The sequence below is a fragment of the Homo sapiens genome, chromosome X, assembly GCF_000001405.40.
Source record: "Homo sapiens chromosome X, GRCh38.p14 Primary Assembly".
NCBI lineage: Eukaryota > Metazoa > Chordata > Mammalia > Primates > Hominidae > Homo > Homo sapiens.
Genome location: NC_000023.11, coordinates 101831840 through 101857577, shown reverse-complemented (window position 1 = coordinate 101857577; position 25738 = coordinate 101831840). Strand labels below are relative to the sequence as shown.

Sequence of the window (25738 nt, the reverse complement as noted above, 5' to 3'; positions counted from 1 at the left end):
TCCAGGTTTGTTCTGGAAAACACTAGGTCTGAGAGACAGCAACAACAAAAGTATACTCTACCATTAAAGAAATGTAAGACACACAAAACTGAGGGTAAAAGGATTTCCATATAATAGCAATTTTTTAGATAATATGCTGATATGAAACATGAATTTCAAAAGGAGGGGTAGTTTCCCCAACTTATATGGAAATTGAGTATTTTTCCAATGAGTAGTTGAGGTACTAGTGTTAGTCACAAAACACTGTGGGAAATCCTGTTCAAACTAAGTATCTTCTGCCACATTAATATCTTATACCTTTGTTTACAAAGAACAATGGAATGTATGTTTACTAGTAATTATATTATAAAAATAATAATTATAATCTATTCTTCTCAGTAAGGAGTTACTTATTGCTCTTTAGCTCATTTTATTTCATTAGCCAATCTCTCTCTTGCTTGACTCTTTCCAATTTTCATTCTTTATAAGTACCCCTAACTTATAAGCATATTTCTAATATCATGATGGCAAGAAATAAGTGCATAAGTACTTCAAGAAATAAGAGCCTAACATTTCATTAGGAAGTGTTGTCTATACCAATAAATAAAGTACCTCACCCTTGAAAGCAGGTTACAACTTACCTGTCAGGATGAACAGATGCAAATTTGTTCATTTTATACAAATTTTCTACATTTTCTAAAAATAATGTTATTATTTAATAATCATAGCTGCCATTTTTGAGTCCCTGTTGTGTGTCAAGCACTATGATAACCTCATCATGAAAGTTATTGCATTTAACTCACAGAAAAATCCAAAGAGGGTGTCATTTAAATTTACAGATGAGATATATAAGTCAGGAGAGGCTAGGTAATGCTGTGCTTATCAGCAACCCCTAAACCTCAGTGGCTGATATTCCAGTAATGGAATTAAATAGACATGATGGAATTGGTTAAAAATCTCAAGGATTGGTAAGCCACAAGTCTTTTCCAAGTAAATAAATGTATTGAATATTGGTATGTCTATTCACAGATAATCATTATAAGGTAAAACCTAATGGTAGATGAAAAGACTGTTCATTTATGATATGTCTAATAAAACTATCTCATCTTTCCATTATTGTCAAGGAACAAATAATGTAAATAACAACAAATTTAATGAAAATAATAAGATATATGAAAGAGTTAAATAAAAATGGTAGATGTCAATGCTTTCAAAAGATAAGGTAATAAAAAATCTTCTGGCAATATGAATCAAGAAAATTAGAGCTATGGCACAAATAAACCACTTTTGGAATGAAAAGCTGTCACACTTGCAGCTACAGCAGAGAGTTAATTCAACATAGTGTTGGAAGTTCTGGCCAGGGCAATCAGGCAGGAGAAGGAAATAAAGGGTATTCAATTAGGAAAAGAGAAGGTCAAATTGTCCCTGTTTGCAGATGACATGATTGTATATCTAGAAAACCCCATCATCTCAGCCCAAAATCTCCTTAAGCTGATAAGCAACTTCAGCAAAGTCTCAGGATACAAAATCAATGTGCAAAAATCACAAGCATTCTTATGCACCAATAACAGACAAACAGAGAGCCAAATCATGAGTGAACTCCCATTCACAATTGCTTCAAAGAGAATAAAATACCTAGGAATCCAACTTACAAGGGACGTGAAGGACCTCTTCAAGGAGAACTACAAACCACTGCTCAATGAAATAAAAGAGGATACAAACAAATGGAAGAACATTCCATGTTCATGGGTAGGAAGAATCAATATCATGAAAATGGCCATACTGCCCAAGGTAATTTATAGATTCAATGCCATCCCCATCAAGCTACCAATGACTTTCTTCACAGAATTGGAAAAAACTACTTTAAAGTTCATATGGAACCAAAAAAGAGCCCTCATTGCCAAGACAATCCTAAGCCAAAAGAACAAAGCTGGAGGCATCACACTACCTGACTTCAAGCTATACTACAAGGCTACAGTAACCAAAACAGCATGGTACTGGTACCAAAAAAGGGATATAGACGAATGGAACCGAACAGAGCCCTCAGAAATAATGCCACATATCTACAACCATCTGATGTTTGACAAACCTGACAAAAACAAGAAATGGGGAAAGGATTCCCTATTTAATAAATGGTGCTGGGAAAACTGGCTAGCCATATGTAGAAAGCTGAAACTGGATCTCTTCCTTACACCTTATACAAAAATTAATTCAAGATGGATTAAAGACTTAAATGTTAGACCTAAAACCATAAAAACCCTAGAAGAAAACCTAGGCAATACCATTCAGGACATAGGCATGGGCATGGACTTCATGTCTAAAACACCAAAAGCAATGGCAACAAAAGCCAACATTGACAAATGGGATCTAATTAAACTAAAGAGCTTCTGCACAGCAAAAGAAACTACCATCAGAGTGAACAGGCAACCTACAGAATGGGAGAACATTTTTGCAATCTACTCATCTGACAAAGGGCTAATATCCAGAATCTACAATGAACTCAAACAAATTTACAAGAAAAATACAAACAACCCCATCAACACGTGGGTGAAGGATATGAACACACTTCTCAAAAGAAGACATTTATGCAGCCAAAAGACACATGAAAAAATGCTCATCATCACTGGCCATCAGAGAAATGAACATCAAAACCACAATGAGATACCATCGCACACCAGTTAGAATGGTGATCATTTAAAAGTCAGGAAACAACAGGTGCTGGAGAGGATGTGGAGAAATAGGAACACTTTTACACTGTTGGTGGGACTGTAAACTAGTTCAACCATTGTGGAAGTCAGTGTGGCGATTCCTCAGGGATCTAGAACTAGAAATACCATTTTACCCAGCCATCCCATTACTGGGTATATACCCAAAGGATTATAAATCGTGCTGTTATAAAGACACATGCACATGTATGTTTATTGCAGCACTATTCACAATAGCAAAGACTTGGGACCAAGCCAAATGTCCAACAATAATAGATTGGATTAAGAAAATGTGGCACATATAAACCATGGAATACTATGCAGCCATAAAAAAGGATGAGTTCATGTCCTTTGCAGGGACATGGATGAAGCTGGAAACCATCATTCTGAGCAAACTATCGCAAGGACAAAAAACCAAACACCGCATGTTCTCACTCATAGGTGGGAATTGAACAATGAGAACACACGGACACAGGAAGGGGAATATCACACACCAGGGCCTGTTGTGGGGTGGGGGTAGGGGGGAGGGATAGCATTAGGAGATATACCTAATGTTAAATGACGAGTTAATGGGTGCAGCACACCAACATGGCGCATGTATACATATGTAACAAACCTGCACGTTGTGCACATGTACCCTAAAACTTAAAGTATAATAAAAAATAAAAATAAAAGTAAAGGTGGCTAGAGAAAAAAAAGATAATGTTATTAAAAAGATATGCTGATAATTTGAAAATTTAGATTAATTTCCAGAAAAAAATATATAATTTTTATGTTAAAGAAATAGAAAATATTAAATGTTTTCTTGACATGGAATTCAAAATTACTACTCCATCTCAATTAATTATGTAAATGTAAATATAGAAATAAGATGACAGCAAACTAAATTCTGTAGTGGCTAAAAGAGATAATACAGCATGAGAAAATTGTGTTTAACCTAAGCTTGGAATATTGGCCTAACATAAGGAGATCCATAATATAATTCAACACTTCAATAGAATAAAGGAGGGAGAAAAGGACAATTATCACAAAAGATCCAGAAAAAAAGTATACAATGCAATTCAACAACCAATCAAGACTAAACAGCAACAATAGCAATCACTCCCAGCTAACCAGGAATAGAAATACATTTCTTTAAATTGATAATGGGTATTTTTTAAAAAGCAGCAAATACCATACATAATAGTGAAACATTAATGGCTTTCCATTTTTAAATCAGAAAAGAGACAAGTATGACTCATATAACCACTTCTGTTCAGATTCTTACTGTTTTCCAGGCAGTAAAGTAAGCCAATATAAATACATGCACACACACACACACACACACACACACACACACACACACACATATATAAATGTATAAAAGGGATAAAAAAGAAAACAAGTCTTAATATAATCATCTTTATATAAAACTATGGAATCTATAGAAAATTATAATTAATAATAGAAATTAAACTTACTGGGTATAAGAATAATATAAAATACTTGCAAAATAGAGAAAACACCATTTTCATTGGGAATATACCAATTACAATAGAAAAAAAGATTTTGTAAAATATACTATGAATTGGCTCACTTGGCAACTATTCCAGCACTCACACTCTTATGTGCTATGCTTTCCTTTACTATAGAGACTAAAAAGGTAAAAACAAAAAAGGATGGCCATGTGAGTGTGTCTGTGTGTATACGTATGTGTGTGTGCATGTGTGTGTGTCTTTCAATCTTTCACAATTGAGTATAATGTTAGCTGTGGGCTTTTCATAAATAGCCTTTATTATGTTGAGGTAGTTTCTTTTTAGTCTTAGTTTGGTGAGTATTTTTCTCATGAAATGATATTGAATCTTATTCAATGCTTTTTCTGCATCAGTTGTGATGATCATGTGGTTTCTATACTTCATCTTGTTAATGTTTTATGTTACATTGATTTTCATATGTTGAACCATCCTTGCATCCCAGGAATAAATCCCACTTGGTCATGGTGAATAAACCTTTTTTTTTTTTGAGACAGGGTCTCACTCTGTCACTCCAGCTGGAGTGCAGTGGCACAATCACGGCTCTCCATAACCTCAAACTCCTGGACTCGAGCAATCCTCCTGCTTCAGCTTTCTGAGTAGCTGGGCTGGTTTTGAACACCTGGCCTAAAGTGATCCTCCTGCTTAGCCTCCCAAAGTGCTGGGATTACAGGTGTGAGCCACCACACCTGGCCTATAATCTTTTCAATGTGTTGCTGAATTCAGTTTGCAAGTATTTTGTTGAGGACCTTTGTATCAATATTCATTAGGGATATTGTGTAGTTTTCTTTTCTTTTAGTGTCTTTGTCTGGCTTTGGTATCAGGGCAATACTTTCCTCATAGAAAGAGCTTGGAAGTATTCCCTCTTCTTCAATTTTTTGGAAGTGTTTAAGGAGAATTGGTGTTAATTCTTAAGTTTTGGTATAATTCTCCAGTGAAGCCATCTGGCCCCAGCTTTTCTTTATTGGGAAGTTTTTGATTACTGAATCAACCTCTTCATTTGTTATTGGTCTGTTCAAATTTTCTGTTTCTTTATGATTCAGTCTTGGTAGGTTGCGTGTTTTTAGGAATTTATCCCTTTCTTTCAGGTTTTCCAAATTTGTTCCTGCAAAATTGTTCATAGTATTCTATCATAATCCTTTTTATTTCTGTATCATTGGTTGCAGTGTGCCCTCTTTTAATTTTATTTGAGTCTTCCATCTTTTTTATTAGATTATCAAGCTGAGGTTTTGTCAATTTTGTTTATCTTCTCAACAGACCAACTCTTCATTTTGTTGATTTTTTTCTGAGATTTTTTAATTCTCTAATTAATGGATTTTTGCTCTTATCTTCATTATTTTCTTCCTTCTGCTATCTGTGGGTTTGGTTTGTTTGTTCCTTGAACTAAAAATTTCCTTGAGGTATAAAGATAGATTGTTGATTGAGATCTTTCTTCTTTTTTTTTTTTTTTTGAGATGGAGTCTCGCTCTTTCACCCAGGCCAGAGTGCAGTGGCGCTATTTCGGCCCACTGCAAGCTCCGCCTCCTGAGTTCACGCCATTCTCCTGCCTCAGCCTCCCGAGTAGCTGGGACTACAGGCGCCTACCACCGCGCGTGGCTAATTTTTTGTATTTTTAGTAGAGACGGGGTTTCACCGTGTTAGCCAGGATGGTCTCGATCTCCTGACCTCGTGATCCGCCCGCCTTGGCCTCCCAAAGTGCTGGAATTACAGGCGTGAGCCACCGCGCCCGGCCTCTTCTTTTTAATATACACATTTACACCCATGCATTTACCTCTTAGCATTGCTTTTGCTCTATCCCATAATTTTTCGTATGTTGTGTTTTCATTTTCATTCGTCTCAAAGTATTTTCTAGTTTCCTCTGTGACTTCTTCTTTGGCCAATTTATTGGAGTATGTAGTTTAATTTCCACATATTTGTAGACTTTTAGTTTTCCTTATACTATTGATTTCTAGTTTTATTCCATTGTGATAGGAAAAGATACTTTGTTTGACTGCAATCTTCTTGAATTTGTTAAGACTTGTTTTGTGGCCTAATATCATCTATCCTATAGAATGTTCCATGTGCACTTGATAAGTGTGTATATTCTGCTGTTGTTGGGTGCAGTGTTTTGTATACATATGTTAGGTGCAGTTAAACTAGTGTTGTTCAATCCTCTGATTTCTTATTGATCTTCTATCTGGTTGTTTTGTCTATTGTTGAAAGTTAGGTATCTAAGTATCCTGCTATTATGTGGCTATCTTTTTCTCACTTTAATTCTTTCAAAATTTGATTCATGTACTTAATAGCTCTGAGGTTTGGTGCCTAAATACTTATACTTATTATATCTTCTTGGTGAATCAACCGTTTATCATTATATAATGTCCTTTTTGTCTCTTGTAACAGTCTTTTCTTAATTTAAAATTTGTCTGTTTCACATGGAGCCAACCCAAATGCCCATCAATGATAGACTGGACAAAGAAAATATGGTACATATACACCATGGAATACTATGCAGCCATAAAAAGGAGTGAGATCATGTCCTATGCAGGGACATGAATGAAGCTGGAAGCCATCATCCTCAGCAAACTAACACAGAAACAGAAAACCAAACACAACATGTTCTCACTCATAAGTGGGAGTTGAACAATGAGAACACATGGACACGGAGAGGGAAACAACACACACTGGGGCCTGTTGGGGAGTGGGGTGCGAGGGGAGGGAACCTAGATGAAGGGTCAATCAATAGGTGCAGCAAGCCAAGGTGGCACACATATACCTATGTAACAAACCTGCATGTTCTGCCCATGTATCCCGGAACTTAAAATAAAATTTTTTTTTAATTAATTGTCTTTTTTTTTAACCCACTCAGCATATCTAGGTATTTTGATTGGGGAGTTTAATCCAATTCCATTTAAAGTACTTACTGATAGTAATTATCATTTTGTTAATTGTTTTCTATATGTCTTGCAGCTTTTTTGTGCCTCTTTTCCTCTCTTACTGACTTCCTTTGTGTTTCATCAATTTTTTTTTGTAATGGTATGCTTTGATTCCCTTCTTGTTTGCTCTTATGTGTATCCTGTAGATATTTTCTCTGTGGTTTACCACTGCAATTACATAAAACATATTAAATTAAAGGTATAGCATTATATTTTAAATTGATAACAACTTAACTGCAAATTGCATACAAAATTCTCCTTTACAACTCCACACTTCCCATTTTATGTTATTGATGTGGCAAATTACATCTTCATATATTATGTACTCATTAAAATAGGTTTATATTTTTAAAAAATGTTTTTGTCATTTAAATTCTGTGCATAAAATTACAATAGTGCCAGTTATTTTATTCATCCATTTGTGTACCTTTACTGATGAACCTTATATTTTTGTACAGCTTTGTGTCTACTGTCCTACTTCAATTTGAAGGACTCTTTTTAGCATGTCTTTAGAGCAGGTCTGGCAGTAATGAACTTCCTCAGCTTTTGTTTATCTGGGAAAGTCTTGTTTCCCCTTCAATTTTGAAGTATAGCTTTTCTTAATACATTATTCTTGATTGACAGTTATTTTTCTTAAAGCAGTTTGAATGTGTCATCCCACTGTCTTCTTGCCTGCAAATTTTCTGCTGAGAAATACACTGATAATCTTATGGAAGCTCCATTGCAACAAATCACTTTTCTCTTGCTGCTTTTAAGATTCTATTTTTGACTTCAGACAGTTTCATTATAATGTGTCTCATTTTATTTTTATTTTCCGAGTTGAAGATATTTGAGCTTTTAAAATCTATATATCCATTTCCTTTTCCAGATTTGGAAAGTTTTTGGCCATTATTTCTTCAAATAAGCTATTTGCTTCTTTCTATCTCTCTTTTCCTTCTGGAATTTCCATAATGCATGTCTTGCCTGCTTGATCATGTCCCAAGTGTTCTCTTTACTTTTCTTCATTGCTTTTTCTTTTTCCTTCTCTAACTTGGTTTTTCAAATGACCTATATTTACGTTTGCTGATTATTTCTTCTGCCAGATCAGTTGTGCTGTTAAATCCCTTTAATAAATATTAGTTTCATTATTGTATTTTTTAGCTCTAAAATTTCTTTTTTAATAGTTTCTGTTTTTCATTGATATTCTCATTTTGTTAATCCATTCTTTTATTCATGTTACTTATCTGTATATCTATGTTCTCTTTTAGTTCACTGAGTATCTTTATGGCAGTTATTTTAAATTCTTTGTCAGGCAGCTCATAGATCTGTGTTTCTTTAGGTTGGTTTCTAGAGTTTAATTTCTTCTTTTGATTGGGCCATGTTCCTCTGTATGCCTTCCTATTTTTTGTTAGAATTTGAGTATTTGAAAAACAAGCCACCTCACGCAGTCTTTGTATACTAGCATCGTGCAAGAGAAGACTATCAATAATCAGTCCAGGCCGGGTGTGGTGGCTCACGCCTGTAATCTCAGCACTTTGGGAAGCCGAGGCGGGCGGATCACGAAGTCAGGAGATCAAGACCATCTTGGCTAACATGGTGAAACCCCATCTCTACTAAAAATACAAAAACTTAGCCAGGCGCAGTGGCGGACGCCTGTAGTCCCAGCTACTCGGGAGGCTGAGGCAGGAGAATGGCGTGAACCCGGGAGGCAGAGCTTGCAGTGAGCAGAGATAGCACCACTGCAGTCCGCCCTGGGTGAAAGAGTGAGACTCCATCTCAAAAAAATAAAAAATAAAAAACCAGTCCAGCTGGAGATTCTAGGATCTCTCAAGCATTTTCTAATCTATTGTTCCCCCTGACATCTGCCTGTGGAATGGAAACTCTAACATGCTTCTTACTTCTGTTTTCAGCAGTGTCCAAAATATTGCATGGGTCCCATCAGCTCTTGAGTCAGGCAAGACAGAAACTAGCCCCTTGGGAAGCTTTCAGATGAACCAGAACGTTGGACATATAGCCCACTATTTTTTCCATTATGAGGAAGGAGCCTGTGTACAGAAGTTTCTCATGGTCATTCCGTGCTATGCCACATAGGAGAAACATTAATGGATGCCCTAAATACCACAAATTTTCCTACCCCGTTTGCAGTATTCCTCTGGGTTTTACAATAGCCTAAGTGCTATAGCTTCCCAACTTGTCTCTAGAATTGTCAGAGGTATTCTGATCCATGTATTGTTAACTCAAGATGTATATGGAAGGACAACTTGTAGCTTTCTAGCTTGAGATCATGCTGATGTCAGTCTAGAATATTCAATTTTATATCCTGGACTTTTTTCCACATTGTGTCATGTAGTATGAGGAATACTCTAGCTTTATTTTCCAAGTCTACCACTTAAACCAGAACAATTTCTTGAATAATGAAGTTGGAAATTAGAAACTTAAATCCCCCCCACCACCATTGAAGCTTTCCATATACATATTTCAGTCTCTGAGCTTCTTATTTTGATTTCCTTAATCAGTATGTCAGATTATTTTCCAACATGGTTTTCTTGTTTTAATATTGCCACTTAATAAAACACATTAGTAGCCAACACAGCAATTTGTCCCTATACACTCATCTGTATTCCTCCTCATTTCCAGGAGGATTAATAACAACAAATGCAACTAAGACATATTTCTTCCTCAATAAATGCCAGATGTTGTACTAAGTTCTTGACATAGCAATAGAAAACTTATTTATAGTGCTTGTTAGGTCACAGGCATTTCTTCAGGTGCTTTTTATGTATTTCCATGTGTTAACTCATTTAATTTTTACACTAACCCAGGAGGTAGAAACTGTTACTATCTTTGAGTTAGGGGGAAAACAAACAAGAACTTGAGTCACAATGAGGTCAATTATTTGCCTTGGATCACAGAATTTAGCACCAGGATTGAAATCCTGGTGGATCTGACCTCAAATCCTAGGCCCATAACCAATAATGTGCGACTCTGTGTCAAGGCTGAAATGAGCGGTGCGACAGAGCCCACTCAAAGTCTGGTGGCCAACGATGGGTGTTGTGTCTGAAACCAATGACCCCTGACTCCAGCCTTCTGTGCAAGAGACTTATCAATGCACACTGTTGCCCGGTACCATCTCTCCTTTTTGAGACTGTGTGGGAACTGTTTCTCTGGTGTTCAACTGGAAGTGAAGTAACAGGGACAGATAAGACATACATGGAAAGGAAGGAAGGAAGGTTTCCAGAGGGGGATGTATCACCAGGATGAATTCATTTCCCTGGAGGCTTTTTCAATGTGTGTTTTGTTGTCTTCTCTGTACTCACCCTCTTCTTTCTGACCCACACATCCATTCCTTGGCCTTTTTAGTCTGTATGTCAGGTACTCATGCCCTTTCCTTGCCATGCCTACTTGATTCCAAGGACAATCATTTCTACTTCTCCCTTAACAATATTAGCCACTCTCTGGTCCCGTCATCCTTCTGTCCCAAACAACCTGTAAAGCACAGCCATATAAACATATGTATATATTTAGGCAGAGAGTGATTTATGTAATAAATTCAAAAAGTGAAATATCCAGATCATTGTAAGAATGACTTCTGAATGGTTAGGCATATTGCAGAAAATTAGACTCACACATGGTTAGTGCAAGTGTATATTGGTGTAAATATCACTGAAAATCCTTAGGAAAATATCACTTTATGCTTAAAAGTATTCATGTGCTTTTCCTGGGAAAGTGTAGAGCAGGGACTCAAAATCTTAGCCCCACTTCAAAGCCCAAGCTGTGTTCCACTGGGTTTTTTGGCCTCCCCCACTGGGGGTGCTCTGTAACCCTGGTCAACTCATGGATATTGTTCCATTACATTATTGTACAGAGAACTGTACTACTTTCTTATTTTAAAACAATCAACTCAAATATTAAAACACCAAGAGGTAAAGAAAAAAAAACCACTAAAAAGCATATTCTGAACAAGAAACAAAATTTGGCCATATATAATACATAACACAGTAAACGAAATGTGTAGTGGGATCCAGTGTTGTCTGGCAATGTGTTTACCAACATGATTTGGAGTACATGTATCAGTAACCTAATTCTAAAAGTATGTAATACAAAACACTAATCTTGCTTGCATGGGCAACGCGGACACACAGACACACACTCTTTCCTTTCTCTGAGACAGGGATGGTACTTCCTGTCTGTCACAAGGCTGAGTGAACACAGCATGCCTGTAGGTCCAAAACATTCTTCCTACGGAGACCAGATGTCCAGAAAGCTCTATCTACTGGATTCAGGGAATGCCTCTCCTCATTTTTGTCACCACTATTTGCAAAAGTCCCCTTCTCTGAGATCCTCAAAGCTGCAGTTCTAGCCTTAGTCTACAGGGAGGTACTTAGTCTACAGGGAGGTACTTATTTCTAATGATACATCAATGAAAAAAATATTAATTTTGCAGAAGAAAAATGTAATTCATTTTAGTTTTGCAAGCAGGTTATGAAATAGTTCTGCAGCATGAATAGGTCTGGAATAAATAAATAGAGGTTGGTAGAAATGGTTCAGATGGATGTATTCTCAAAAGTGCTTTTGTCGATGATCCCAAAACTACATCACGTGCATTCTTTTCACAAATATTAATTAGGCCCTTATTCTATGCCAGACCACTACCAGCCTAAAGTGACTCCAAATCTGAAAACCCGTGGCCCAAAGAGATTTCACCCATCTGGTCCAAGACAGAGATCTCCACTTTATCCAAGAAACCTGGTTCCCACCCCAACAGGAGTGACTAGCATAAAACATCATCCCTGGCCTGCTCGGAAAAATCTGTCCATGAGACCGGAAAGCTTTCCATTTAAGGGAGAACCAGTGCAGTCTCTGGAGGAGCACTCAGGGTGTAGAGGCAGACCAATATACGTGAGGACATAATTCCTGTTCTGCCACTTACTTGACTGGGAAATGTACATGACATCTGTGAGCCTAATATTCACGATCTGAAAAGGGACTGTGGATAGAATTCTCATGGGATTTCTGTGAGGAGGTCAAGAGAAACCTAGTGAGTCTGCCCAACACTGAGCAGATGTTGGTTGCCACTGGGCAAGGGTTGGTTTTCTTCTTATCCCATTCTTTCCCTGCCGTAGCAGGGATGCTGATGCCATGCACTCAGTGGCATGGCAGTGATGTAGGCAGAATTCCAAAATGACACAGGAAGTTCCAGTAGGAACGCACATGATGTCATAAACGATACTCACTACTATGTCTGTGTGGGAGGACCAACCAACATATGGTGGGGCCTGATGGGAAACCCAGGTGGTCTGGGTGAGAAGCACAAGCTGCTTTATGTTGAGAACACCTGTAATTCTGGCAGCACAACTGCAAGACAGGGATTGTGCAGAGATGCCAGAGTTCAGTAAGTAGATGTGCACCTGTGTGTGTCTTATCTTCAGCATCTCTCTCTGTCGGGTCCCTCTGTGGCTTTTTATTACATGTGCTCTCTTCAAACACAAGGCCTTGCCTGAGGATGTAGCTGTACCTGTTGGCTAGCTAACTTTTACACCTTCTGCCCCTCAGTGACATTATTTCTGAAGTAATGCTGGTTCTCAAAAATAACATTGACTCTTCCTATGCTCCATATATTGACCATGTGCCCTTAACCCTCACTTTAATCTTTGATTTTTGTCCCTTTCATTTATGGACTTTCATGAAAATGAGTTGGTTCCTGGACATCCTCCAAATGTCACCAATATGGACCTTTGTTGTTGTTGTTGAGTATTGTTATGGACTCATAGCTTTTTAACATACCAGTTAAAGGATTTTGAGTAGAGGAATGACAAGATTTGACTTATGCTTTAAAAAATCACTCTGCCTGCTGTGTTGAAAATAGATGGTAAGGGAGCCAAGGGCAAAAGCAGAAGGACAAGTTGGAAAGCAGCATAATCCAGGAGATAGATGTTGGTGACCTGGCCAGGGTAGGTAGCAATGGAGGGGGTGAGAAGTTGCCAGACTCTGGATATATTTTAAAGGTAGAGACAAGAGAAGATACATCCATTCTGATCGGTTGGATGTAGAGTGTGAGAGAAAGAGAGCATTCCAGGCCCACTTCCAAGTTGTGGGGACCAAGCATCAGGAATGTCTAGGTCAGATGCTCTGCCCACATTTAATTTCACTTCTAATGGCACACAGGGAAAGTCCCAACACTCGAGAGTAGCAGGACTGTCCTGACAGTGGGTCACACACAGTGAAAGCAACGACCCCCCCCCCCCGCAACAGAAGTTAATCTGAGGCCTGGCCATAATCAGTACATTGCAGAGAGGTCAGCAGTGACTGAAATTTTATTCATAAGGGTGCCCTGAGACAAGGTGTACATTTTGAAATTGGTTGAGGTCTGTTTGATGGCCCAGGAGATGGTCTACCTTCGTGAATGCTGCAAGACAGTAGGGGGGGAGTGGAAAAAGCATGCCCTGCTTTCGTTGTTGGGTACAGTGTTTTATTCATGTCATTTAGATCCTGTTACTGTAGTGGTTTTTAATATCCTTGCCGATTTTCTTTCTTTCTAGTAATTCTGTCACTTGCTTAGGAAGAGTTGTCTCTTGGGCTGAAAGCATTTCGGGCTGGGCAAAAAGAAAGCTTGCTCTGGATATTTCAAACTGAGTATTGTTGAGGGCAAGGCTGTAGACAGGAGGGCAGCTTGGGAAGCTGTTACATCAGTCCCACCTGTCATTAAAGCTTGTACTACACCGGCAAAGAAGTACAGCTTGCTGATTGTTCACAGAATGCATTTGGGGACTGGAGGTGCGATTTCGGAGGTGCGAGAGAGGTTGTCTCCCAAGTGTTGGTGCTGTTGTTTGATTAGAGAAGCCTGAGAGAAGGCAAGATTAGGACCCTTTCCAGGTGTGTAGCTGGTGTCTAGTCTAACCCATGGACACATGCACCTCTGTTCTTTATAATTCCTGCTCCATTTTTTAAGAGGTTCAACACAGTTGCTTCCTCTTCCAGGATTTCTCCCCTGATTGTGCCACCTGTGAGATAAGGCTCTTGTATCTGGACAGGCAGAGGAGTTTGTTTTCTGGGGCTTGTGTGATCGGTCCCTTGGGGCAGGTTGACACTTTGCTTGTCCTACCATGGAGTTAGCCCACAACATGAGACATGGTAAGTGGACCATTGATGTGTCTTCAAACTTGTGTTTTGTTCCCAATTGCAGAATGCCGTATATGTAGTAGCACTTTTCAAAGAAGGAAGAAAGGTGGGAGTCATTTCCAGGGTAATTTTGACAAGAGGAACTGTCATTATGAACATGGTGGGTATGAACTTCTGCCTTCACGCTGCCAGGAGAATGATGGAAGCATGGAGATGAGGGATGTCCACAAGGACCGCCAACTAAGACAGTAAGTGACCAGGCAGCCTGGTTTGCACGTAGCAGCCTCCGGGACTGTGCAACCCTTTCATTCTCTGTGGTCTTCCTTTTCTTCTCTCATTAGAGAACTGAAGAATGCTGGAAGTGGAATAATGGCTGAGCAATCCCAATTGAAGCCTTGGTGTCAGTGAGGGGAGTGTGTATAGAAGACTTTCTTAGCTTTAATGAATATCCACCTTCTCTCCCTTTCCCCACAGCACTCCTTATAGAATCCAATGCAACAGGAAGCTAGTGAAATGACATAGTGAAGATCAAATCCATATTACCATTTGGAGAAATAGAAAACCTCCAGAGAGAAAAATGAGGCGGAACACACAAGATGAAAACATGAGGAAATGGTTCAAGGTCACAGTGAGTATCTCGTTGAGGTCTGCATTAGGTAGAATATTCTGGGCCAGGCACGGTGGCTCACACCTGTAATCCCAACACTTTGGGAGGCCGAGGCAAGCAGATCACTTGAGGTTAGAAATTTGAGACGAGCCTGAGCAACATGGTGAAACCCCACGTCTACTAAAAATACACTAACTAGCCGGGCATGGTGGCAGTCACCTGTAAATCCAGCTACTCGGAAGGCTGAGGCAGGAGAATCGCTTGAACCTGGGAGGCGGAGGTTGCTGTGAGCTGGGATCATGCCACTGCACTCCAGCTTGGGCAACAGAGCAAGACTCTGTCTCCAAAAAGAAAGAAAGAGAGAGAGAAAGAAGGAAGGAAGGAAGGAGGGAGGGAGGGAGGGAGGGAGGGAAGGAAGGAAGAAAGGGAGGGAGGGAGGAAGGAAGGAAGGAAGGAAGGAAAGAGAGAGACAGAAGGAAGGAAGGAGAAGAAAGAAATGGAAGAAAGAAAGAAAGAAAGAGAGAGAGAGAATATTCTGGAACCTGATAGAAAGAAGACCACATAAAACACCCTAAGTTGATTATTTGAAAGAGAGCTTCAGAATGGAGAGAAAGGTAGCTTAGGGAATCCATATTTGGCACAAAAATAAGAAATCATGTCAGTGGTCCCTTCTTTAGAAGTCCAAGCTAAGTAGAAAGCTGGAAAAATAAACAGCTGGTTGTTTCTGTTCTCCAAACTTAGTTCCATGTTGTCTCTCCCTTCTCTGCTATTTCTTCTTTTTATGCTTAGATTCCTTATGGGATAAAGTATGACAAGGCATGGCTAATGAATTCAATCCAGAGCAATTGCAGTGTCCCCTTCACTCCGGTTGATGTAAGAGAGGATGGTGAAGCCAGATGAGTGGACACAGGGGATGGAGAGAGACCTGGCTCAGCAGGGGCCATTGGCCTCTGACGCTGTTGCTCTTGCCTTCACTCCCTGTAGTTCCACTACATCCGAAATCGGGCATGCTTCTTTGTCCAGGTTGCTAGTGCTGCCTCTGCATTGAAGGATGTCAGTTATAAGATTTATGATGATGAGAACCAAAAGGTGTGTGCTGAGGGCATTCCCTGTACTTAGTCTTTGGGCAGGAGGACAGGCCAGGGGACTGGTCATTGTCTTTGGGATTGGAGGTCCTGGTACTTACCACCCTGCCTTCCTGCAGATATGTATATTTGTCAGTCATTTTACTGCGCCCTACTCTGTGAAGAATAAGTTGAAGCCAGGCCAAATGGAGATGCTAAAGGTAATACAGACTCAAGGATCATTGTATGTCCACTTCCTGGACCCACCTCTTCTTCCCCTGGCCCCCTCTTTCCCTGTCACCACCACCACCACCACCACCACCATCACCAGAGCCCCAGAGCCTCTGTCTTCATCTCTATCTCTGCAGCTGACCATGAACAAACGGTACAATGTCTCCCAGCAAGCTCTTGATCTCCAGAATCTCCGCTTTGACCCAGGTAAGGCTGACAGCAGCAATTCTAAGACAAGCGGGGGCAGAGAGGTCTGCCTGGGAGGGAGACTTAGGAATGGCAATTTACAGAGGGGTTGGGGCTGGCTCTGGTCCAGCCAGGGCCCTCCCAGCCTTCCGATTCCCTTCTCTTGGCTTCTTCAAGACTTGATGGGCCGTGACATTGATATAATCCTGAATCGAAGAAACTGCATGGCTGCCACCCTGAAGATCACTGAAAGAAATTTCCCTGAGGTGAAGCCTTAGGCTCAGTGCTGGTATTTAGTTAGAGGGGTGGAAGGGATAAGGTGGAGGGCAGATTTGTCTCTGAGGCCCAAGATAGTAGCCGCCACTCTAACTCTTCTTGACCCAAAGCTGTTGTCTTTGAACTTGTGCAACAACAAACTGTACCAGCTGGATGGCCTTTCTGACATTACAGAGAAGGCTCCCAAAGTCAAGACCCTGAATCTCTCCAAAAATAAGGTGAGAAGGGGGAGCCAGATCAACTTTGGGTGGAGGGCAGGACACATCAGGATAATGGCAACAGCCAGGCAGTGGCACCTGTGGGTGACTATGAGGGCCGGGGGAATTCAGGGCCCAGGGTCCTGGGTGTCTCTCTTTCCCTGGCCCTCCTTCTCCAGTTTCCTCCCCATCTTTCTTAGCTGGAGTCGGCGTGGGAGTTGGGCAAGGTGAAAGGGCTGAAGCTCGAAGAGCTATGGCTAGAAGGGAACCCGTTGTGCAGCACCTTCTCGGACCAGTCTGCCTATGTAAGGTCAGTGGCAACCCCTGTCACCCTTCCTGGGCACCTTTGCTCCCTGGGTGACTGAGCTGTGTCTGAAGGTGCCCTTCTGCAGGAAGAAGCAGCCTTGGTCCTCTGGGAGGACCACAGACCTCCCTTCCTACTCTCTCTCTCTCTCTCTCCTCTCTCTCTGTCACTCACTCATCTGTGCTTAGAGGTCTCCTTTCCTTCCTCTGACATGGTCCCCTTTTCACCTGCTCTGGGGTGTGTTTCCCGCCTGTCTCCACCAAGCCTCCTCCAGTGTGCCCTCTGTGAGTGTGCTCCAGGAAGTGGGGCTCCCCCACCTCCCCAGGACCAGCAGTATTCAGATGCTGGTGCCCTGGACCGAGAAGAGTCCTTTAGTCCGGGGCTTCATGCTGAGACAGGCCTTCCTGCCTCCATGCTGAGATGGGGCTTCCCTCCCCTGTCCCGAGAGGGGTTCTCCTTCTCTTGCTCCAAAAAGGTCCCCCCACCTGTCCTGGGCTGGCATGGGGGCTTCCCTGCCCCATACTGAGGGCTGGGGCCCCGGGTGGCTGCTGTCATGCCATCTCTTCCTCTGGCCCAATGCCAGGAGCTGGGCCCTCCTTGGGGAGAAACCTGGGTTTCCTACGTCAAGGGTCCAGAAGCGGGCCACGTTCCTGAGGCAGGAGTGGAAGGCAGAGGGCAGAGGAGGTTGAGAAGACAGAAGGACAGGCCTCTCAGGGCACTGCCCCACCTTCCCTCCTTCTCCACCTCACATCGTCCTGCCTGGGCCCTCAGAGGAGCCCTGGGTAGCCCGAGATGGGTAGCATTCCTCGGTCAAGGCGTCAGCACAGAGGGGCACAGGAGTCAGGGACCATCAGAAGAGAATGCAGTGGTCTGGAGAGGGGGTCCCCAGACTCTGAACCCCATGCTGAGCTGGGGCCTGACTCTTCACTCCTCCCGGGAGAAGGTCTCCTGTCCCCGTGGCTGCTCTGTTTCCCATGCCCAGCTCAGACTGAGCTCACACAGGTGAGGAAGGCTCCAGCTGCAACCAGTGGGCCCCAGCCCAACAGGCGCATGTTTTCCTTTCCTGCCTCGGTCCCCGGGGCCAGCCAGGGAGCAGTGAGGGAAAGGGCTGCAGCAGGGGAGCCCTTTTCTCCTCTTCTCCTCCCTGAACTCCACCTCCGCAGTAGAGAGTCTTTCCCTTCCCTTTGCATTGCATCCTGTTTCTCCCTTGTCTCTCCTCTCCTATGTCTCACCCATCCGTCCCTCCCCTACCTTCACCCCGTTTCTGTTGTTGTCCCCCCTGCCTTCCGCTTCCTGCCTCCTGAGTCCGGCCTCACTCACCTCCGTGTCCCAGCATCCTGGGCCATCCCTAAGGGCTGACCTGGTCTTGGCCAGGGCCTGGTCAGGCAGGTTGATGGACAGCCAGTGAGGTGGCAGAGCCCTGGGCTCCCACCCCATTTCCTGCTCCCTGCAGAGCCTTCCATGGTGACTTGGGCAAAGGGGAGGGAGGGAGAGGAAGAAAGCCCTGGAGCCTGGGCTCCCAGTGCTGCTTCTTGTGGCACTGGAGAAAAGGGAGTCAGGACAGTCTAGATGGAAGCTAACCAGGAGGAAGGAGAGGGAGGAGTGTGAGAGGGAGTGGGAGAGAGACTGTGCAACCCTGAACTGTCAGTCACTTCATTCAATTTTTGGTTTTGGACAGTGCCATCCGGGATTGTTTCCCCAAGTTGTTACGCCTGGTAAGTATGTATAATACCGTCATCATTGTCTCCTCTTACTCAAGAAAAGGACCTCCACGCCTGCCCTCAAGTCCTTTGGGTCTTGCCTAGATTACATGCTTGTATCAGACCCTCATCCATTTTACAGGCATGGATTCCTGAAAAAGACAAGAATATTCTCCCTGGAAAATGTGTCCCCCCACCGCCACCCCCCCCCACACACACATTTGCATGTGATAGTAGAGATGTCCAGCACCCCATGAGAAAGCCACCCACTGGAATTTCCAGGGCCATTTCCCACCTAGCCTCTGATGCTTGTCTCCCTGGGCATGTTCATCTTATCGATCATCCAGCTCCACCTCCTTGGTCTCCACTGCTGACTTCCTCTTTCCTTCTCCAGGACGGCCGAGAGTTATCCGCACCAGTGATTGTTGACATTGACAGCTCTGAGACAATGAAACCCTGCAAGGTGAGGAAGAAGGACCAAGCAAGATTTGGGTTGCTGTAAGGGAGGCTTTGTCCACCGCATAGATCCAAATTGTCTTTTGATTTCAGGAAAACTTTACTGGATCTGAGACCCTAAAGCATTTAGTCCTGCAATTCCTGCAGCAGTGAGTATCCCTGGGACCATGAGGAAGGGGAGGGCTGAGACAGGCTGGGCACCCGTGCAGCCTGGGAGTTTTCAAGTCTCATCTGGGGCCCAGGCCACAGAGATAGCCTATCCTCACTGCTTTCCCCACAGGTATTACTCGATCTATGACTCTGGAGATCGACAGGGTCTCCTCGGTGCTTACCACGATGAGGCCTGCTTCTCCTTGGCTATTCCCTTCGACCCCAAGGACTCAGCCCCATGAGTATCACGGCTCAGACCCTGCTCTGGGGCTGTGTGTCTCCCCAGCAGACACAGGCCAACTCCTGGAAATGCCCACACTGGCCGGACCACCCACTCCTGCTCCTCTTTTTCTCCTAGGAGCAACTTGTGCAAGTACTTCAAGGATAGCAGGAATATAAAAATTCTCAAAGACCCCTGTAAGTGTGTGATGGAGAAGATTGGGCAGGGTAAAGGAGTGTGACAGGAACAATCACAGGGGCCAAGGACCAGGGTATGGCAGCTCCCCCAACCCCACACCTTCCTTGCTTCTCTTCTTCTCTATAGACCTGCAGAGGAAGCTGCTAAAGCACACAAAATGTCCACGAAACGTGGACTCCCTCAGTGCATTGCCTGAAACTCAGCATGACTTCACCTCCATCCTGGTGGACATGTGGTACCAGACCGTGAACACCTGCTTCCTCCCTCGGGCAGGCCCAGAGAGCCAGAGGTGGGTAGGAGGTTAAGGAGGATCCTGAGCACCTGAGCGCTTCCTTTTCAGGAAAGGATGCTCTGCTTTTCTGTCAACGGAGTGTTCAAGGAAGGTGAATGACTGCAGAGTCCCCTCCCCAGATCCCCCACTGCTCCCTCCCACTGGCTGGGCTCCTTCCCAGAATTCTCCCAGCTTCTCTGATTTCATTCCATCCCTTCCTCTTCTTCCCTCTGTGTTTTCCCACCCCCACTTTGCCCACAAACCACCCTGATCTGACCTAGGTCCATGCCTGTCTGCCCTGCACAGCTCAGGCGTGCATTAAGGACACAGACTGTGGAGTTTGACAGCTCTCATCCCAGGTCCTTACTCTGTGAACTTGTGCTGGTTACTTAACCTTTCTGTTTCCTCATTTGCAAAATGGGGCTAATAATAACCCATTTCTTGGGCTACTGTGAAATAGGAATCAAGTGAACCTGTGGTTTTCACAGGGCCCCATGCATGATAGGGGCCCTATCACTGGGAGCTGATTGTTCCTGTTGTTGCCTTCCCCATCCCTGCCACATCTGCCTGACTCCAAGTGAACAATTGTCCTGGTCTGTCCCCTCTTCTGTGTGAGTGTCAAGCAAGATTCTGACTGGGGATCACTGTGTGAGCATGTAAAGCCTGTGTAACTCTCAGGTGGTGGTGTTTGTTGTCTCTGAAGTGGAAGGATGGTCTCAGGGTTCTGATCTTGCCTTCATGTGGACCTTCATCACTACCTCTGGCCGCAATTCCAGGTTAGTGCTATGTTGTGGGTGGGAGCACCCATCCCAGCTTGGGGTCAGTGTTGTGGGAATGTGTTGGGTGCAGTCCTCAGGGTGTTCTCAATATTGTGGAAGGCCAACAGGTAGATCCAAGGAACAGTCCAGCCTAATATTTAAGAGTGTGGGCCCTGGAGTTGGAATACAGTTTTTATTCCTCACCCCAACACTCACAAACTATGTGACCTTGATCAACTTATTCGACCTCTCTGAGATTCAGTGCCTTTCTCTGAAAATTAGAATAAGAGTATCCACTTCCTTGCACTGTTGTACAGGGTAAACATGCTGGGGTTCTAAAAATCTAGTGAAGCTGGTAGACAATCTCTCCAAAGGCAGACTCTGTAGGAGGGTTAGAAGGTACCAGCCAAAATATCTGGGAGGCAGGCACAGTAGGGATATGGAAGCAATTTGGTTGTTGAGCGGCAGTAGTGGTTAAGAAGGATCCTGTTGTTGAGAGTGTGGAATTGTCTACCTGTCCAGTTTGAGGGTGCATTGTTCTTTCCTCCAGTCTGTGCATCATGAATGATAAGCTGTTTCTGAGGGATGCCAGCCCCCAAGAGACTCAGAGTGCCTTCTCCATCCCAGTGTCCACACTCTCCTCCAGCTCTGAGCCCTCCCTCTCCTAGGAGCACAGGAAATGGTGCAGGCTTTCTCTGCCCAGTCTGGGATGAAACTAGAGTGGTCTCAGAAGTGAGTACTAGGAGTACATGGGGATGGGGGAAGTTGGGACCTCAGAAGAGTGAGTAATGGAAACTCACATGCAATTTGGAAAAATAACTATCTGATATTGCAGGAAGTCAGGGACCCCAAATGGAGGGACCAGCTGGAGCCACGGCAGAGGAACATAAATTGTGAAGATTTCATGGACATTTATCAGTTCCCAAATAATACTTTTATAATTTCTTATGCCTGTCTTTACTTTAATCTCTTAATCCTGTTATCTTCGTAAGCTGAGGATGTATGTCACTTCAGGACCACTGTGATAATTGTGTTAACTGTACAAATTGATTGTAAAACATGTGTATTTGAACAATATGAAATCAGTGCACCTTGAAAAAGAACAGAATAACAGCGATTTTTAGGGAACAAGGGAAGACAACCATAAGGTCTGACTGCCTGCAGGGTTGGGCAGAATAGAGCCATATTTTTTTTCTTGCAGAGAGCCTATAAATGGACGTGCAAGTAGGGAAGATATTAATACCCTGGGGAAGGAATGCATTCCAAGGGGGAGGTCTATAAATGGCCGCTCTGGGAATGTCTGTCTTATGCAGTTGAGATAAGGACTGAAATACGCCCTGGTCTCCTGCAGTACCTTCAGGCTCACTAGGGTGGGGAAAAACTCTGCCCTGGTAAATTTGTGGTCAGACCAGTTCTCTGCTCTCGAACTCTGTTTTCTGTTGTTTAAGATGTTTATCAAGACAATATGTGCACTGCTGAGCATAGACCCTTATCAGTAGTTCTGCTTTTTCCCTTTGTCTTTTTCCCTCAGAAGAATGTGATCTTTGTTAGACCCTTATTAGTAGTTCTGCTTTTTGCCCTTTGAAGCATGTGATCTTTGTACCTACTCCCTGTTCTTACACCCCGTCCCCTTTTGAAACCCTTAATAAAAACTTGCTGGTCTGAGACTCAGGCGGGCATCATGGTCCTACTGATATGTGATGTCACCCCCGGTGGCCCAGCTGTAAAATTCCTCTCTTTATACTGTCTCTCTTTATTTCTCAGCTGGCCAACGCTTATGGAAAATAGAAAGAACCTACATTGAAATATTGGGGGTGGGTTCCCCCAGTAATCTGGATGTTTTGCTTCCAAAAAAAGTGGGCCCATCAAAAAGGTATCATACTTTTATACTGATATATTGTAGATAATTTTTATATGGTCATGTAAATGGCTCAAATGACATTGCCTTCCATATGTAAAATCTGAAAGAATCCACCACAAGAAACTACTAATAAACCAATTGAGCGTGGTTGCAAGATATAATGCACAAAAATCACTTGTACTTCTATGTAGTTGCAATGGACAATACAAAAAAATGAAATTAAGAAAACAAGTCCATTTACAGTAGCATCAAAACAAGTAAAATATGTAGAAACAAATTTAAGGGAATAAATGCAAATATTATACTCTGAAATCTTCAAAACATTGCTGAAAAAAATTAAAGAAGACCTAAATAAATGGAAAGACATCCCTTGTTCATAGATTGGAAGACTTAGTATCAATAAGATGGCAATATCACCCAGAACAATCTACAGATTCATTGCAGTCCCTGACAGAATCCCAACTGGCTTCTTTGCAGAAATTGACAAGATAATTTCAAAATTCATGTGGAAATACAGTGGACCCCAAACAACCAAAACCATCTTGAAAGAGAAGAACAATGTTAGAAGACTAACACTTCCTGATTTCAAAACTTGCTACAAAACTACATTAATCAAGACTGCGTGGTACCGATATAGGAAGAGACGTGGGCATCAGTGGAACAGAGTTCAGAATTCACAGATAATCTCACACATTTATATCCAGTTGACTATCATTCTGGGTGCTGAAAAAAAATCCAATAGAAAAAAATAGTCTTTTTAACAAATGATGCTGTAACAATTGGATATCAACTTGTAAAACAATGAATGTTGACACCTGCCTCACATGATGTGCAAACACTGACTGAAAAATGGGTCAAGGATCTAAAAGTAAGAGCTAGAACTGTAAAACTCTATAGGTGTACATCTTCATGACCTTGAATTAGGCAACCATTTCTTACATATGAAATGAAAAGCACAAGCAACCAAAGGAAAAATAGGTAAATCAGACTTCGTCTAAATTAAAAGCTTTTGTGCATCAACAGATACTATCAAGAAAGTTGAAAACTGACTGATGAAACAAGAGAAAATGTTTGCAAATTACATTGCTGACAAGAAGAACCCTTACAACTCAACAATAAACAGACAAACCACCCAATTAGAAAATGGGGAAAGGATTTGAATAGACTTTTCTCCAAAGAAGATATACAAATAACCAACAAGCACATGAAAAATTTCTCAACATCATTAGTCATTATGGAAATGCAAATCGAAACCGAAATGAGTCGCCACTTCACACCCACTAGGATGGCTTTAGTCAATAAAAAGAAACATTACAAATGTCAGTGAGAATACAAAGAAATTGGAAATCTTATGGATTGCAACTGGGAACATAAAATGGAGCAGTCGCTGAGGAAAAGATTTTGGCAATTCCTCAAAATCTTAAACATGCAGTTACCACATGACCCAGTAATCCCACTCCTAAGTGTACATCAATGGAAATGAAAATATATGCCTATTCAACAACTTGCACATGAATTTCCATAATGGTGTTATTCGAAATAGCCAAAAAATGGAAACACATCAAGTGACCTTTAACTGATGAATGGATAGATTAATGTGGTACATCCATATGGTGGAATATTATTGGAATATTATTCATAAAAAAGAATGTAGTTGTGATATATGCTATGACATGGATGAAACTTGAAAACATTATATGCTAAGTGAGAGCAGCCAGTCACAAAAAGCCACATAATTATATGATTCCATTCATATGAATTGTTCAGAATAGCCAGATCCATAGAGACCGAAAGCAGAGTAGTTGTTGCCAAGATCTGGGGAAGAGGGAGAAGAGGGAGTGATCTCTAACAGCTAAGGAGTTTCTTTTTGAGGTGATAAAAATAGTTTGGAATTAGATAGTTGTGGTGGTTGCACAATCTTGTGAATAGACTTAAAAAGCACTGAATTGTACACCTTAAAATGGTGACTGCTACAGTATGTACATTATATCTCAATAAAAAAGAAACGTATTATTGAATTTCCACTTGTTATTTCTTGAACATCTTTTTTACCCATATGGATTAAGCTCCCTTCTTCATTTGAATAACCCTATGTTTCTGATTTGAATTCTAGTGGGAATGAATGTCAGGGATAGGTGTTTTCATTTTCCCTAGGCCTTTTTTCATCCTTACAATAGTGCTCATATTGGTACATGTGTCCCAGCAAACAGGTAGCATAGACTAAGTGTGGCATTGCATAGTCAGCATGTCTGTCCTGGGGTAGTAATGGAGAGCACCTATTCTCCCACCCCAGGTGCCTTCAGGACAATAAGTGGAACTACATTAGAGCTGGTCAGGTCTTCACTATGCTCCAGGTGAGGTCTGGATATCAAGGGGGTAAAAGACAGCTGTCTCTGGGCCTTCAGGAGGGCCAAGAAGATGGAGGCGGGGTAGTGTGGGGATGGAACCCAGGGCACCTGGCTCTACTAACATCCCAACTCCTTTTCTTCACTTCATCTAGACTGAGGGCAAGATCCCAGTGGAGGCCTTCAAGCAAATCCCCTAAAAGGAGCCCTTTGATGTCATCTTTGTCTTCCTTCTCATCCTCTTTGTTTCCTCTTTTCACCAGCCTAAGACCACTCTAAGGACTGGGGTTGGAGGCCTGGCTGACCAAGAAGCCAAAGTTAACTTGCAGGCCACAGGACATAGCCACCTGAAGAGCCAGTTGTTCTGTGTATTTGCCCCACTCATGATCACCGTTTATTTTCATAATAAACAGTGACGTTACATGTTGTATGTTGTGTGCCCTGGATTGCTCTTCCCCTGCCCCAACCATGAGCCAGTGGGGCCAGGACAGAAAAGCCCTGCATCCCTGTTTATCGCTGGCTGGCCTTAGCAGATACAATGATCTGGCTTCCCTTCATAGGTAATTTTGTCAATAAATCCTGATGAGAAAGGACACACGCCCCTTCCAGATATTGGCCTTGAGAGACAATGGAACTCTGTCATATGCTCGACCTGGAGGCCCACAGAAGCAGGCATGTTACCTGGCACACCAGGGGCTTCCATCCA

The 25738-nt window shown here is 42.3% G+C and overlaps 1 pseudogene across 5 annotated transcripts; it reads left to right on the top strand.

The window, feature by feature from the left end:
* NXF5 (nuclear RNA export factor 5) lies at positions 1-25466 on the top strand (annotated as a pseudogene). 5 transcript variants are annotated; one of them, NR_159738.1, is made up of 19 exons: positions 1-73; positions 14273-14456; positions 14683-14836; positions 15605-15688; positions 15800-15904; positions 16020-16100; positions 16248-16317; positions 16474-16562; positions 16747-16790; positions 16970-17079; positions 18752-18788; positions 19168-19236; positions 19323-19378; positions 19738-19796; positions 19924-20086; positions 20772-20844; positions 21377-21558; positions 24981-25041; positions 25188-25466. The product of NR_159738.1 is annotated as a nuclear RNA export factor 5, transcript variant 3 (transcript). The 5 variants fall into 5 exon arrangements; NR_159739.1 differs by having other exon boundaries at positions 16683-16790; NR_028089.1 differs by having other exon boundaries at positions 16683-16790; positions 20747-20844.
* The last annotated feature ends 272 nt before the right edge of the window (positions 25467-25738 follow it).